Source organism: Homo sapiens, chromosome 1 (assembly GCF_000001405.40).
Source record: "Homo sapiens chromosome 1, GRCh38.p14 Primary Assembly".
Taxonomy (NCBI): Eukaryota; Metazoa; Chordata; class Mammalia; order Primates; family Hominidae; genus Homo; species Homo sapiens.
The window spans coordinates 36,009,282-36,025,300 of NC_000001.11; the positions used below are offsets into that span (position 1 = coordinate 36,009,282).

At 41.2% G+C, this 16,019-nt stretch overlaps 1 protein-coding gene and 1 long non-coding RNA gene across 10 annotated transcripts in view, besides 1 other annotated feature; one reads left to right on the forward strand and one right to left on the reverse strand.

The window, feature by feature from the left end:
- AGO3 (argonaute RISC catalytic component 3) overlaps nucleotides 1-16,019 on the forward strand; it is a 141,783-nt gene that overhangs the window by 78,564 nt on the left and 47,200 nt on the right. For all 9 annotated transcript variants that reach the window (XM_017000523.3, XM_005270575.5, NM_024852.4 and 6 more), the window contains 3 exons: nucleotides 194-313; nucleotides 4,349-4,471; nucleotides 4,634-4,767. In XM_017000523.3, the coding sequence (XP_016856012.1) occupies nucleotides 194-313; nucleotides 4,349-4,471; nucleotides 4,634-4,767 (377 nt within the window). The remainder of the gene's footprint in view (nucleotides 1-193; nucleotides 314-4,348; nucleotides 4,472-4,633; nucleotides 4,768-16,019) is intronic.
- LOC105378647 (uncharacterized) lies at nucleotides 98-12,380 on the reverse strand. Its single transcript, XR_001737972.2, has 3 exons — nucleotides 9,660-12,380; nucleotides 4,144-4,235; nucleotides 98-590 (listed from the first exon to the last, which is right to left on the reverse strand). It is a non-coding gene; the product is annotated as an uncharacterized LOC105378647 (long non-coding RNA).
- Nucleotides 13,920-14,349: an enhancer, noted in NCBI's record as "active region_741". NCBI's record gives its function as "activates an Ori minimal core promoter by ATAC-STARR-seq in GM12878 lymphoblastoid cells {active_cell/tissue: GM12878}" and the evidence as "EXISTENCE:reporter gene assay evidence [ECO:0000049][PMID:35858748]".

Here is a 16,019-nt window from a genome sequence, read left to right on the forward strand (position 1 = left end):
CTGGTGTACATTTTACTTAATTATACTTAATTACTGTAGAGCTGTCTTGTTTACTACTTTTTTACTTAACATATTGAAAATAAGTGGTTTAATGAAGTTGATTTTAAATTTTTATTTACATGTAATTGGCACTAAGTAAGAGCTAAAAAAAAAAGATATATACATGTAGTACAAAACTTTTTTCCATTTGTAGGTCTGTAATATTGTGGCAGGGCAACGATGTATCAAGAAGCTAACAGACAATCAGACTTCCACTATGATCAAGGCAACAGCAAGATCTGCACCAGATAGACAAGAGGAAATTAGCAGATTGGTTAGTACTTAACCTTAGAAATGAGAATTTAAAACATATTAGGGTGAACTGTAATACTAGAGAACCATGTCCTTATCAACCCATACCTTATGACCATTTCATGGACTGTCAGAATTAAAAGCAATCATGGAAGTAATCTAATGTTCTTGATACAAGCCTTGGTGGGCTATATGAGAAGGGTTAGGTCCTTCTCATTTAACCCTGAGCTTTTTAAGTAGATCCAGGGAACAGATCCTCTCAGAAGAAATGTTTCCATTTAGTAAACTGGAACCTCCACCTAAAAGAGGTGGGAAATAGGAGGAAAAGTCAAAGAATTATGACTAGCAATACTAAAATTCTTTTTTTTTTTTTTTTTTTTTTTTGAGACGGAGTCTTGCTTTGTCACCCAGGCTGGAGTGCAGTGGCACGATCTTGGCTCACTGCAAGCTCTGCCTCCCAGGTTCACACCATTCTCCTGCTTCAGCCTCCCCAGCAGCTGGGACTACAGGCGCATGCCACCACGCCTGGCTAATTTTTTTGTATTTTTAGTAGAGACAGGATTTTACCATGTTAGCCAGGATGGTCTCCATCTCCTGACTTTGTGATCCGCCCGCCTCGGCCTCCCAAAGTGCTAGGATTACAGGCGTGAGCCACCGCACCCGGCCAATACTAAAATTCTTAACACTCAGTCTAAGATTGCTTAGTCCCCAGTATCACAGTGGCAGCTGTACAGTCTGAATAAAGAAATGGCTGGGCTCAGTGGCTCACATCTGTATTCCCAGCAGTTTGGGAGGCCAAGGCGGGTGGATCACTTGAGGCCAGGAATTTGGGACCAGCCTGGGAAACATGGCAAAATGCCATCTCTACTAAAAACGCAAAAATCAGTGGGGCATGGTGGCATGTGTCTGTAATCCCAGCTAGTCAGGTGGCTGAGGCATGAGAATAACTTGAACCTGGGAGGCAGAGGCTGCAGTGAGCCGATCACACCACTGCACTCCAGCCTGGACAACAGAGTGAGACTCTGTCTCAAAAAAAAAAAAAAAGAAAAAGAAGGTCGGGTGCGGTGGCTCATGCCTGTAATCCCAGCACTTTCGGAGGCCGAGGGGGGCGGATCACCTGAGGTTGGGAGTTCAAGACCAGCCTACCAACATAGAGAAACTCCGTGTCTACTAAAAATACAAAATTAGCCAGGCATAGTGGCGCATGCCTATAATCCCAGCTACTCAGGAGGCTGAGGCAGGAGAATCGCTTGAACCCGGGAGGCGCAGGTTGCGGTGAGTCGGGATTGTGCCATTGCACTCCAGCCTGGGCAACAAGAGCGAAACTCTGTCAAAAAAAAAAAAAAGAGAGAGAGAGAGGGAGGGAGGGAGGGAAAGAAAGAGAAAAAGAGAGAGAAAGAAAAGAAAGAAAGGAAATAGAAGATAGCTTTAACCACGTAAGGTCTCTGTGCTGTCTCATTGTTCTAAATGAGGGGAAGGAAGGCGTTACCAATACCGCTTTATAAAACTCATAGAGTAAGGCAAAACTCAAGATTAAAGGGCATCTGAATCTTATCTGGCTCTGTTCTCGAATACCATTTTAACTGCCCAAGCAAAGAGAAAAAAATCTGGAAATATGAATATTTCCCAAAACAACTTAATAATACTTCCAAAAGCAATTTTAAAGATTATTGAAAATAGGGATGCAAAACTGGCTCTTTTAATTTATTTTTTAACCTTAGTAATTTCACCTTTGGCAAAAACTGGCTCTTTTATTTGGTAAGCCAACTGCAGAAAAAATACTTTTTTTTTTCCTTATTGACTCTTCTGTAAAGAGTCAAAGAAAGTTATTACATGATATTTAATTAGGAAAATATATGCTGGTTTTCATCTTGGATTTTTCTCTGATTCTACTATAAGATTTTAAAAACTCTCAAAATCAGAGACTAAGACCTCTTACTTTGTCTATAAAAGTCTCAATAACTCACTGTTCTAATTCATTTATTACAGCTTAACTGTTCAGAAAGTATCATATGGTAGTTTAAAAAAAATAAAACAGACTTTGGAGTCTAACAACCCTGGGTTGGAAGTCTGGCTTCTCCACTTACTTACTGTTACTGTTACTATTATTATATTTATAGTATCTGGAAAGATAATGCAGTGATTAAGAGTAGACACTCTAGAATCAGAATATACATGGTTTCACATTCTGTCTACATCACTTACTTAGCTGTGCGGTTTTTGGCAATCATTTTACTTTACTGAGCTTTAGTTGTATCCTCTGTAAAATACAGATTATAAAAGAACTGTTTTTGTAGCTATAAAATACTTGTGAAAATGTATCATTAAGCACTTAGCACCAAGTACATCATGCAGCAAGTCATAGTATATTAGTTGTTATAGTATAGTCGTCATTATTCGCTGTAACCTTATTACAGGATACACTGAAGTACAGAAATGCATGGCAAATAAGATTGAAAGAGATGCCCCATTGGTGCCTAATTTAGAAAATGGGGCTTACACCTGTAACCCCATCACTTTGGGAGGCCGAGGCAGGACTATCAGTTGAGCCCAGGAGTTCAAGACCAGCCTAGGCAACATAGTGAGACCCCATCTCTACAAAAAAAATGTTAATTAGCCAGGTATGTGGCATGCACCTATAGTCCCAGCTACTCAGGAGGCTGGGGTGGGAGGATCGCTTGGGCCCCAGGAGATTGAAGTTGCAGTGAGCTGTGATTGCACCACTGGATGACAGAGCGAGACCCTGTCTCAAAAAAAAAAAAAAGAAAAGAAAAGGAAAAAGAAAAGAAAATGACTTTTCCTGCTTATTGTGGAGAGATTCTATATAGCAGCATGCTTTAAGCATGAATTTCAGTGAGATTCAACACTGAATTACATGAAGTTCTTTGATTATATGTATGGGAATATATAAAAATTATAACCTGTGACTCATACTGGCTTTCTTATCTGTCTTTAAGTGTATTCCATTAAATAAATTTTATAATATGGCACTGAAAATAGTCAAGTAAATTTTATATAAATTATAAATCAAATAATTTTTAAAAGCTTTAAGATTTTTAATATTTCCTATCAAACTCTACACAAAATAAATTTTAATAGAATGTATCCAGATCTCCCATAGTCAGAGGTTCTTAACCTCTTTTTAGGTGAGATATTTCTTTCTCCATCCAAAAGCATATTAGGTTCAATCATACAAAATTAACATTTTCAGCTGGGTAGTACATAGTGGTGCATGCCTATGTTCCCAGCTATCTAGGAGGCTGAGAGAGGAAGATGGCTTGAGCCCAGGAGTTCAAGGCCAGCCTGAATAACATAGCAAGACTCCATCTCTTTAAAAAAAAAAAAGTTTTATTATCATTTTCATGGATTTTTTTTTTCTTTTGAGACAGGGTCTTGCTCTGACCCCCAGGCTGGAGTACAGTGGTGCAATCACAGCCCACTGCAGCCTTGAGCTCCCAGGCTCAAGCGATTCTCTCACCTCAGCCTCCCAAATAGCTGGGACCACAGGCACACAGCACCACACCTGGCTAATTCTTTTTAATTTTTTGTAGAGATGAGGTCTTGCTTTGTTGCTCAGGTTGGTCTTGAGCTCCTGAGCTCAAGCAGTTCTCCCACCTCAGCCTCCCAAAGTGCTGGAATTACAGATGTGAGCCACCACGCCCAGCCTAATTTTTTAATTTTTTTGTAGAGACAGGGTCTCACTATGTTGCCCAGGCTAGTTTCAAGCTTCTGGGCTTGAGCAATCCTCCAGCTTGGCCTCCCAAAATGCTGAGATCACAGGCATGAACTACCATGCCAGGCCAAAATGTATTATTCAACCTAATGCATACATACAAATTTTGTATAAATTACCAGGAGGTCACAGAATTTCTGCAGTCCATTCATGACCCATGGTCCCCAGGTTAAGATTCGCTGTTCTGTAGTTAGAGCACCATTGATTAGACCTGTTGGAAAATATATTATGGACACAGTGAAGAAAAAAAAGAGGGTTCTAATGCATTAAAGTAGGGGATTTGGGGGAATTTTGAGAGTAACTACAAACTTTTTCTATTTTTAGGTAAGAAGTGCAAATTATGAAACAGATCCATTTGTTCAGGAGTTTCAATTTAAAGTTCGGGATGAAATGGCTCATGTAACTGGACGCGTACTTCCAGCACCTATGCTCCAGTATGGAGGACGGGTAAAGTCTCTTGTTAATGTTTTAATCATACACATATTGTCTGTAAGTATGAAGAGAAAGGCATATCAGAAATATTTCAATTCAGCGATTTGAAATGTTTACTTTCTGTTTATTGAAAATTTTTGTTCTTTTTCACCATGTTATTTTTTTCTCCTCGTGTAGAATCGGACAGTAGCAACACCGAGCCATGGAGTATGGGACATGCGAGGGAAACAATTCCACACAGGAGTTGAAATCAAAATGTGGGCTATCGCTTGTTTTGCCACACAGAGGCAGTGCAGAGAAGAAATATTGAAGTAAGACATGTCATTACCTTGGCTTTGGGACTTTTTTGTGTTTAGACTTTAAATTACTCATCTAATGTTCTAACAGATGTTGCCTTAATATGAAGTATATGTAATCACTGAACCATTTTTTTTTTTTTGAGACAGAGTCTCACTCTGTCACCCAGGCTGAAGTGTAGTGGCGTGATCCCAGCTCACTGCAACCTCCACCTCCCAGGCTCAAGCAATTCTCCTGCCTCAGCCTCCCAAGTAGCTGGGATTACAGGTGTGTGCCACCACGCCCAGCTAATTTTGTATTTTTAGTAGAGATGGGGTTTCACCATGTTGGCCAGGCTGGTCTCAAACTCCTGACCTCAGGTGATCTGCCCGCCTTGGCCCCCCAAGGTGCTGGGATTACAGGCATGAGCCACTGTGCCCGGCCTAGTCACTGAACCTTTAAAAATGTTTCTTCTTGACCAGGCACAGTGGCTCACACCTGTAATCCCAGCACTTTGGGAGGCCAGGGCGGGTGGATCACAAGGTCAGGAGATCGAGACCATCCTGGCTAACATGGTGAAACCCCGTCTGTACTAAAAATACAAAAAATTAGCCAGGCGTGGTGGTGGGCGCCTGTAGTCTCAGTTACTCGGGAGGCTGAAGCAAGAGAATGGCATGAACCCAGGAGGCGGAGCTTGTAGTGAGCCGAGATTGTGCCACTGCACTCCAGCCTGGGCAACAGAGTGAGACTCTGTCTCCAAAAAAAAAAAAAAAAAAACTTCTCAATAGTTCGGTGAAAAAATTTGTTAGTCATAGTAAATTCCTTGATTCATTCTATTAGACATCCTTATAGACTACTGTGAATGGAAAAAACACAAGCTCAAACCATGTTTTTTCTCTGCTCTCACACCAGAGCAATCAACACAGAACACTCTTGTGACTAAATGTGGGGAGGGTTTCCCCACACACCAAGCAAACAATCAGTTCTGCAGTGGACACCAGCTGGGTGTCCTCCAATTCAGTTATTACACTATCTTCCTGGAAATAGCATCAGATTCCACAGATTCAGGGTTCACTCCCACAAGGCTGCACTCTGCTTCAGATGCCAGTAGCAAGTCCAGGCCTCTGGTCATGGGTTCCCATGACCCCCTCTTCAAGATAGATTCGTCTGATAGAGCAGCTCACAGAACTAGGGAAACACTTACTATGTTTACTGTTTTATTATAAAAGATATTCCAAAGGATGCAGTAAAGATATCCATAGGGTGAGGTATGGGGACGGAGTGTGGAGTTTACATGCCATCCCTGGGTACACCACCCTCCAGGAACCTTTGTGTGTTCAGCTGGCCAGAAGCTCTCCAAACCCCATCCTTTTGGATTTTTATGGATGCTTCATTACATAGGCCTCATTGATTAAACTGTTAGCCATTAGTTATCAACTTAACCTTCGGCCCCTTTCGCCTCCTTGGAGGTTGGGGATGTGGGGCTGAAAGTCCCAGCCCTCTAATCCTGCCTTGCCTTTCTGGTGACCAGACCCCATCCTGAAGCTACCTATAGGCTACCAGCCGTTAGGCAATCAGTATCATATAAAAAAGATAACACTTAGGAGTTTCTAAGGATTTTAGGAGTTGTCTGCTAGGAAATGGGAATGGCCAACAAATGCATATTTCACAATATCACAACTACTTTTTGTGGGATAGTAGCAGCAAGCATCATTGTCTTTCGATGACAGTTTAGGTATAATTCCCAGATTTGCCACTACCTGGATTTATTACCATGGATAATTTATTTAATCTCATTATTCTTCAATGTTCACCTTTGTAAAATAGAGCTAATCATATCTTCTGTTAAAATAAAAACTTCAGACAAATTAAATTTAACAGAGTTTATAATTGAGCAAAGAATGATTTGCAAATCAGGCAGCTCCTGGAACAAGAACAGGTTCAGAGAGACTTCCAGCAGCCGCATGGTTGAAGAAGATTTATGGACAGAAAAAGGAAAGTGGCATACAGAATATGGAAATGAAGTACAGAAACAGATGGATTGGTTACAGCTTGGCATTTGCCTTATTTGAAGATGATTTGAACAGTTAGCTGTAATTGATTGGCTAAAACTCAGTGTTTGGTACACAAGTAGCTTATCCACTATTTACCCATCCAGTTAGGTTACAGTTTTTTGTTTTTGTTTTGAGACAGAGTCTTGCTCTGTCACCCAGGCTGGAGTGCAGTGGCGTGATCTCGGCTCACTGCAACCTCCGCCTCTCAGGTTCAAGCGGTTCTCCTGCCTCAGCCTCTAGAGTATCTGGGACTACAGGCCTGCACTACTATGCCCGGCTAATTTTTGTATTTTTAGTAGAGATGGGGTTTCACTCTGTTGGCCAGGCTGGTCTCAAACTCCTGACCTGAGGTGATCTGCCTGCCTCAGCTTCCCAAAGTGCTGGGATTACAGGCGTGAGCCACTGCGCCTGGCCTAGGTTACAGTTTACGATGTTCAGAGAAACCTCTAGACTGAACTTAAAAGATGTAAGGAGGTAGCTTTAGGCAAAACTTAATTTAACAGTTATCCCCTTTGATCTATCCCCCCAATTTTTTTTTTTAATGGATTGGCATTGATGTCAGTCACCATCATAAACTTACTTATTTGGTCTCAAATCCCACTGGGAAATAGCAGAACAATGGGTTTTGTAAAATGGGAACAAGGACTTCAGGTTACTTTTTCCTAAGGGTAAGAGTAGAGGGGACCTCCTTGTGCTGAAATTTCCTGTTTTCAGGAGAAAAACAAAACCTGGTCTATTTTAGGATCTATCTCTTTCTTTAATGTTTCAGTGTAATTGTCTCACGCTTAGCATGAGTGACTCCATTTTGGTTTGGTATGGTCTGTTGGGGCCTCATGCATGAGCTTAGTCCAAAACAATGGCCTCCCACAATTTTGTTTAAAAATTCCTCCCTTTTGGTTAGGTCCTCACTTAGGTAAGAGTGTGACCAAAACTTAGGACCTTAGCACCACTCTGTTACCAAGATTTTGGGTTTCTGGTCTCAGTACGTCATTTATAAGTATGGTGTTCCTCATGCTCATACATTTCTTTGAGTTTCTGTTCCAATTCAAGAGAGACCATTTGACATCCTACAGATGGCCATATGCAAACACTTAAAACTTTTGAGAGAATATAGTATCCCAGGGAGACTACTATTATGACTCTCAGGAGAATAACCCTAAGAGTTTGGAGTATGCTCCTTAGCCAAGGTCCCCATGAACCAAGCCACCTAAAATCAAATAGATCGAAGAATAAGCTAGAATAAGAGTCTACTTGTTTCAACCAAGCACCCTGTTTGTTAATCCCCTACGACTGAATCTGTTAATATCCAATGTATTCCTCCATGTTCAATAAGAAGTAGCAGCAGCTGCACAGATACTTCTGTTTAGCCAGTAAGTAATCTAGAGCAATTCTATTATCTAGCACAACTTTAGCAAGATAATTTAAAGTCTCTTGTATAACCATAGTCTTTGCAGTAGAATCTGCTAAAGAGCCTATAAATTTCTAATAGGCTAGAAAATTTAGAGAGATAAATTTCTAATCATTGCCTCATTACATTAACTCCAAACCATAGGCCAGGCGCAGTGGCTCACACCTGTAATCTGCAATCACTTTGGGAGGCTGAGGTGGGCAGATTGCTTGAGCTCAGGAGTTCAAGACCAGCCTAGGCAACATGGCAAAACCCTGTCTCTACTGAAAATTCAAAAATAATCCGAGCACAGTGGTGCACGCCTGTGGTCCCAGCTACTCAGGAGGCTGAAGTGGGAGGATTGCTTGAGCCCAGGAGGCAGAGGTTGCAGTGAGCCGAGATCACGCCACTGCATCCCAGCCTGGGCAGCAGAGCCAGACCCTGTCTCCAAAAAGGAAAAAACACACCATAGAAAAATAAACTAACAAATAATGCCCATCCAGAAGAGTGAAGGCCTCCTGGCACTATTCTCTTTAACCTGTATTGACAATGTTCTCTTTTTTTTTTTGAGGCTGGAGTGCAGTGGCATGATCTCGGCTCACTGCAGCCTCTGCCTCCCGGGATCAAACAATTGTCCTGCCTCAGCCTCCCAAGTAGAACAGGCACGTACCACCACGCCCAACTAATTTTTTGTATTCTTAGTAGAGCGGGGTTTCACCACGTTAGCCAGGATGGTCTCCATCTCTTGACCTCGTGATCTGCCCACCTCGGCCTCCCAAACTGCTGAGATTACAGTTGTGAGCCACCATGCCTGGCCGACAATTTTCTCTTTAAATTATGATGTAGGTTAAGAGGAGTTGACCAGTGCTCTGTTTCTGACTGATTATGAAGCAAAAAAGGTACCATTAAAATTTCTCACCCACATTGGCCCTTCATCTTCCCTCTATCAAGGCGTAAACTTCTCTGTGTGTGAGGGTTTTTGTTTTTTTTTGTTTTTTGGTTTTTGTTTTGAGACGGAGTCTTGCTCTGTCACCAGGCTGTGATCTTGGCTCACTGCAACCTCCATCTCCCGGGTTCAAGCAATTCCCCTGCCTCAGCCTCTTGAGTAGCTGGGACTACAGGCATGTGCCACCATGCCTGGCTAATTTTTTGTATTTTAGTAGAGATGGGGTTTCACCATGTTGGCCAGGATGGTCTCGATCTCCTGACCTCGTGATTCACCCGCCTTGGCCTCCCAAAGTGCTGGGATTACAGGCATGAGCCACCACACCTGGCCAATATGAGGTTTTTTTTATCCTTCACAAATAAAAGTATACCTTGTGAGTGTACACAAGAGACCCCTTTTTCAGTTTAGTTGTTCATAACAGGCATGAACTTGGAAAAAATTGAGAGCCAAAAGCCTCATGATAGCAGAGAAGTCTTGATCCACAATCTTGGGAAATCTGTCCACATCTAGGAGGCCATCTGCTTCTCGGGAGAAACTTACCTCATTAGCTTTACCTTAAGTTCTCCCTCTGATGGGTGTGTGGTTCCAAGAGTCTGGGTGGGCCTTTCTAAGTTGTGAGATTACAAACCCAAGCTTCAGGGTCCTGAAGTTTCGCTGCAGTGTGGGTGACAAGGGGAGTCTTTCTCTGATGTGTTTCCAAAAGATCCAGCCTCTGAATTCTATATCATGAAGGGTTTGCTTGTCCTGAGTCAGTGGTCCATGAAAAGCTTTCTTTACCTGGTGAAAATACACTTTGGCATAATACATTACAGCCTTGCAGCATTTAGTCACGTTAAGGTTTAGGAGCATAAGATACAGAAGGTTCTGTTATTAGGAGCATAAGCCTTCCAGTGACTATTTCATAAGGGTTCAACTTTTGTTTTCCCATGGAAGTGGATCTGTTTGTCATCAATCTGAAACATCTTTGACCAAGGCAATCCAGATTATTCAGTTAGTTTTGCCTAATGCTCTTATATCTGTAATACCTTATTTAACTGTTTTACAGCCAGTCCAGTGAGGCAAGTATCTCTATCACTGGAGATTTCTTCAGCAATGTTCTATGAGAGAAACACATTTCCTAATAACCTTTTAGCTGCTGTTATAGCATCAGCCCACTTGTATGAGAAAGCTCCTGTACAACCAGAAAATATGCACTGAAAATCACAATTGAATGAAATCCCTCTGTAAAGTGTTCAGATGTAGCAGAAAGGTACCTGAAGTTTTGGTTGTCTTCTCAAGATTATGGGTTTGACAAACTATACATTGGTCATAAACCATTTTAGCAATTTAGAACAGTCACAACACCAATATATATGTAAGGTGTTTGTTTGTTTGTTTGTTTGTTTTGAGACATAGTCTCACTCTGTCACCCAGGCTAGAGTGCAGTGGTGCGATCTCGGCTCACTGCAACTTCCACCTCCCGGGTTCAAGCAATTCTTGTGCCTCAGCCTCCCAAGTAGCTGGGATTGCAAGTACCTGCCACCACACCCAGCTAATTTTTTGTATTTTTTAAGTAGAGACAGGCTTTCACCGTGTTGGCCCAGGTGGTCTAAAACTCCTGACCTCAGGTGATCAGCCCACCTTGGCCTCCCAAAGTGCTGGGATTACAGGTGTGAGCCACCATGCCCGGCCAGTATATACATTTTATCTCTTCCTTGATGAATCATGGAATACAGCTTCTAGTAATGGAATTTTTAAGGACTCAGGAAGGAGCAGGCAGCCGGCTGTCCAGTCTCTCTCCATGAGTCCATGCTTAACACTGGAATTGTATCCTCTTACATAGCAATTTTCTTTCTCCAATGGAGGTGCACAGCACTGTTTATTAGATGGGTTATCATAGGTAGTTTGACCTGGACCATGGAGTTCATTCAAATTATGTATCTTAATAGTTTCAGTACTGACTGAGTTAGCATGAAAATCTGGCCAAGTATTTTCTTGGTATTCATTTAATTCTTGTGCTGCTTGAGTTAGCAGTTTTATATATCACTCTGTCTCTTCAATATGGTTCTGGTAATTCTTACTCAGTCCAAACGATATGATCCTAAAGTTACCAGAAACCTATCTTCAGGAGTGCTTACCAAGGTCCATTTCATCTTTTCCATTAACCTCCTTGAAGACAAAATAGGATTTTATTTGCTTGTGAAGTTATTTTTAATAACTGCCATACATTTATTTATTTATTTATTTATTTATTGAGACGGAATCTCGCTCTGTCATCCAAGCTGGAGTGCAGTGGTGCTATCTCGGCTCACTGCAACCTCCTCCTTCCTGGTTGAAACTATTCTCCTGCCTCAGATTCCCGAGTAGCTGGGACTACAGGCGCATGCCACCATGCCTTGCTAATTTTTTTGTATTTTTAGTAGAGATGGGTTTCACCTTGTTGGCCAGACTAGTCTCGAACTCCTGACCTCAAGTGGTCTACCAACCTTGGCCTCCCAAAGTGCTGGGATTACAGGGGTGAGCCACTTGCACCCAGCCTGCCATTACTTTATTTATTTATTTATTTATTTAGAGACGGAGTCTCGTTCTGTCACCCAGGCTGGAATGCAGTGGCACAATCTCGGCTCATTACAACCTCTGCCTCCCAGGGTCAAGCAGTTCTCCTGCCTCAGCCTCTCGAGTAGCTGGTATTACAGGTGTGTGCCACCATGCCTGGCTAATTTTTTGTATTTTTAGTTGAGATGGGGTTTCATCATGTTGGCCAGGCTGGTCTCGAACTCCTGACCTTGTGATCTGCCCACCTCAGCCTCCCAAAATGCTAGGATTACAGGCGTGAACCACTGCGCCCAGCCGCCATTACTTTGAACAGCAGAAACCGCAATTACTTTTGCACCAACCTAATATTAGAAACTGCTTTAGAATTAAGTAATTAACTGTGGAAATGACTTTAAATGGTCATAAAGACACAATTGAGAAGGAAATTTGGTTATTTCTGTGGCCTACAATAGTTTAACGTAATAACCATAATTATGTCTGATAACATATACTGAGATACATGAGAATTTTCATAATCTTATACAATTTTGGAATATATATTAATATTTATAAAAATATAACTCGATGGAGTTTAAACATCACTTCTTATTTGACACTGTTTCTCATGTAATTTTACGTATAAAATAAGCCTGTTTATTATCTCTTTTGACTGTTGTAGGGGACCTCTGTAACATCCCAAAGTTAATTTGAGGTCAAAAAAAGACTTAATTTTGAATTTGAAATTTGATTTGGGGAAGCTTGTCCAATATGTCAAAGATTGAAAACACTTGGCCCAAATAGGATCACAGGTCACTGTGAAATAAGTCATTCATTTAGCCAAGGTGATCATTAAAAGGTTTTTTAAAAGCAAAACCTTTATTATTTGATAGAGAGGAGACTCAATTTTCTAGTCAACAGACCTGAAAAAGACAATATGATACAGAATCTATCTCTCCTTCTTTCCTCTCTCTTTTTTTTTGTGCAGTTTACTCAAAAGGTGAACAAAAATATTTTGCTGTTACTGAAGCTTTTTATTTGCCTTTTATAGAAAATCTTTTAAAAGAGGGAATAAAAATATTGAAATCTTATTAGAAGCTTCTGCACATTAATAGGCATCCGCATCCTTGGATGAAACTAAGTTGGGGGCCTTTTTTTTTTTTTTTTTTTTTGACATAGGGCCTCACTCTTTTGCCCAGGCTGGAGTGCAGTGGCGTGACCATGGCTCACTGCGCCTCAGCCTCTCAGGCTTAAGTGATCCTCCTATGTCAGCCTCCCAAGTGGCTGGGACCACAGGGACTTGCCACTATGCTCTGCTAACTTTTTTTCTTTTTTTGTAGAGACAAAATCTCACTATGTTGCCCAGGCTAGTTTCAAACTCCTGGACTCAAGTGATCCTCCTGCTTCGGCCACCCAAAGTACTAGGATTATAGGCATGAACCTAGAGCCCTCATTTGTAAATAGACTTCTTAAAGTGCAGTATTATTCATTTTGAATGTTCTACTATAATTTTAAATTACATAAAGTGAGATTTCACCATTTCAGTAAGTGTTTGCTGCTTTAGGGTCCTAACATTTATGAGTGTATAGCTAGGCATAGCTGTAAGGTAGAATACTCAGTTCTTCAGAAATTAAGGATCCCATTTTCCCTTGAATCTTGGCTTTGGCTGTCAGATCCCATTGATCATCCAATGATTTTTCCATGCCTAAACACACAAGAAAAAGAAACAAAGGGCATAGGCTGGGCGCAGTGGCTCACGACTGTAATCCCAGCACTTTGGGAGGCCGAGGCGGGTGGATTACCTGAGGTCAGGAGTTCGAGACCAGCCTGGCCAACATGGTGAAACCCCATCTCTACTAAAAATACAAAAATTAGCCGGGCCTGGTGGTGGACACCTGTAATCTCAGCTACTCGGGAGGCAGAGTCAGGAGAATTGCTGGAACCTGGGAAGCAGAGGTTTGATCGCTCCATTGCACTTCAGCCCAGGCAACAACAGTGAGACTCCGTCTCAAAAAAAAAAACAAAAAAAAAAACAAAAAAAAAAGAGAAACAAAGGGCATAGACATAGAGCACAAAAATCTCTGTGAATTTCCAAAAGCCAAAGTTCACACCTTCTTATTTGCCATTAACTGCCAGTTTCTTCCTGACTCAGTTAAACATCCAAGGCCTCTAACTGAATCCAAGTCAGTTAATTATCAGATCCAGTCTGATTCTGGACCTGGTCCAGTTTCTGTCATGACTTCTGAACCCATTTCAGATTTTAAAATTTGCTCAAACAAATTCAGATAACTCAAAACACAAATCCATGGAGCTTCAGAATCTGAGAGCTTACCCACAATCCCCAGTTGCTGCAAGAGAGGAATGGACACAGAGAGTCTGACTGGTACCATGCTTCGTCACTCAGTGCTTCTGGGGATTGCTAGAGGTTCTACTTCGGATCCCACTTCTGACACCATCTGTTAAAAGAAAAACTAGACAAATTAAATTTAACAGAGTTTAATTGAGGAAACAGTGATTCACAAATCAGGCAGCCCTTAGAACCAGAATAGGTTCAAAGAGACTCTGGCACTACCACATGGTTGAAGACTTATGTACAGAAAAAGGAAAGTGATGTACAGAAAATGAAACTGAAGTACAGAAACAGCTGGATTGCTTACAGCTTGATACTTGCCTTATTTGAACATGGTTTCAACAGTTGGCTGCATTTTATTGGCTGAAACTCAGCAATTGGTACAAGAATAGGTTACAGCTTGTTTACACGTCCGGAGATTACCATTCACTATGTACAGAGAAACCTTTAGGCCAAACTTTAAAAATGTAACGAGACAGCTTTAGGTGAAACTTAATGTAACACTACCTACCAGGTGAGGATTAACTAAGATCCTTATTTTTCTGTTGAGGATGTTGAAGGAGTGGTTAAACTCCTTGTTTCAGTTTCCTTACTTTCCAAAATTTGCCTTTCATCTCCACCACTTTTTCTCTCTTCTTCAGATTCTGTCCTTCAACTTCTAAGTGTGCAAAAATCTTCAGTTCAGTTTCTTTTTAATCAGCAATTTTCACATTACCTAACAATCTCTTAGGCTTCCAGACCTCCATTCTCTCCCCTCCCTTGAAATCATAGTGCTCTGCTAAAACTGGTTCCTGGAAGATTTCCTGTACCTTTATGCTTAGCAAGTTCAATGGTCTCTTCTTAGCCATTATTTTTCTCAAAATTTGACTGACTCCTTTTTTTTTTTTTTTTTTTTGAGATGGGATCTCACTCTGTTGCCCAGGCTGGAGTGCAGTGATACAATCACAACTCACCGCAGCCTTAACTTCCCAGGCTCAAACGATCCTCCCACCTGAGCTTCCTAAGCAGCTGGGACTACAGGCATATGCCACCATGCCCAGCTAATTTTGTTTTTTTGTATAGATAGGATCTCACTATGTTGCCTAGACTGGTCTCGAACTCCTGGACTTAAGCAGTCCTCCTGCCTTGGCCTCCCAAAGTGCTGGGATCATAGGTGTGAGCCACCGCACTCTGCCGACCTTCTTGACATCCTCCTCTCTTGCCTTCTGGTTCTTTAGTTTACGTTTTCTGGCTTCTTTTCCTTTTCATTATCTATCTGCTCTCCTTTGGGATTCTGACACAGTCTCAGGGGTTTCTGCTGTCACGCTTGTTTGAGAAATTCGGCTGTCATGAAAGAACACCACCTCTATTTGTGACGAAAGCTACTCTGAAATGTTTAGTCTTCTCTTTGACTAAGAGTGACATTCAAAATTAGTATGACATTTATTTCTTTATTTTATTGAGACAGAGTCTCACTCTGTCATCCAGGCTGGAGTGCAATGGCGTGATCTCGGCTCACTGCAACCTCTGCCTCCCAGGTTCAAGCGTAAAATCAGTATGACATTTCATATCTTTCACCAGTCTCTTAAGTCCTTTATCATTACTCCATTTTCATATATTCTGGCCAAAGAAACTGAAGCATCGTATTCCTTCTATCTCCCTGGCCTTTTTAACCTGTTTCCACTCATGCTGCCCTTTACTGAGAATGCCTCCTTCCTATCTCTACCCATCAGTATCCTCTCTATTTGTGCTTGTCAGTTTTTGTGCAAAATACAATTGTATTATAATGATTTTGTAAATGTATCATCCCTCTGGAATCTAATTTTCTTGAAGAAATGATCCTTATCTAATTTAAATCTCTACTTATATAAAGTATGTCAACAATGAAACATTCTTGAGTGATACAGAGACCAGTTTACCTCAGGCCATTTCAGAATTTGCCTTGCCTTCTTCATGGCAAGAAGAAATTAGAATATGAGAAATAAAATTTTTTTCTATTTAATTCTGTTCATCCCTTTTTATTAATCCCAAATCTCTAAATGGATGCTTTAATGATCACT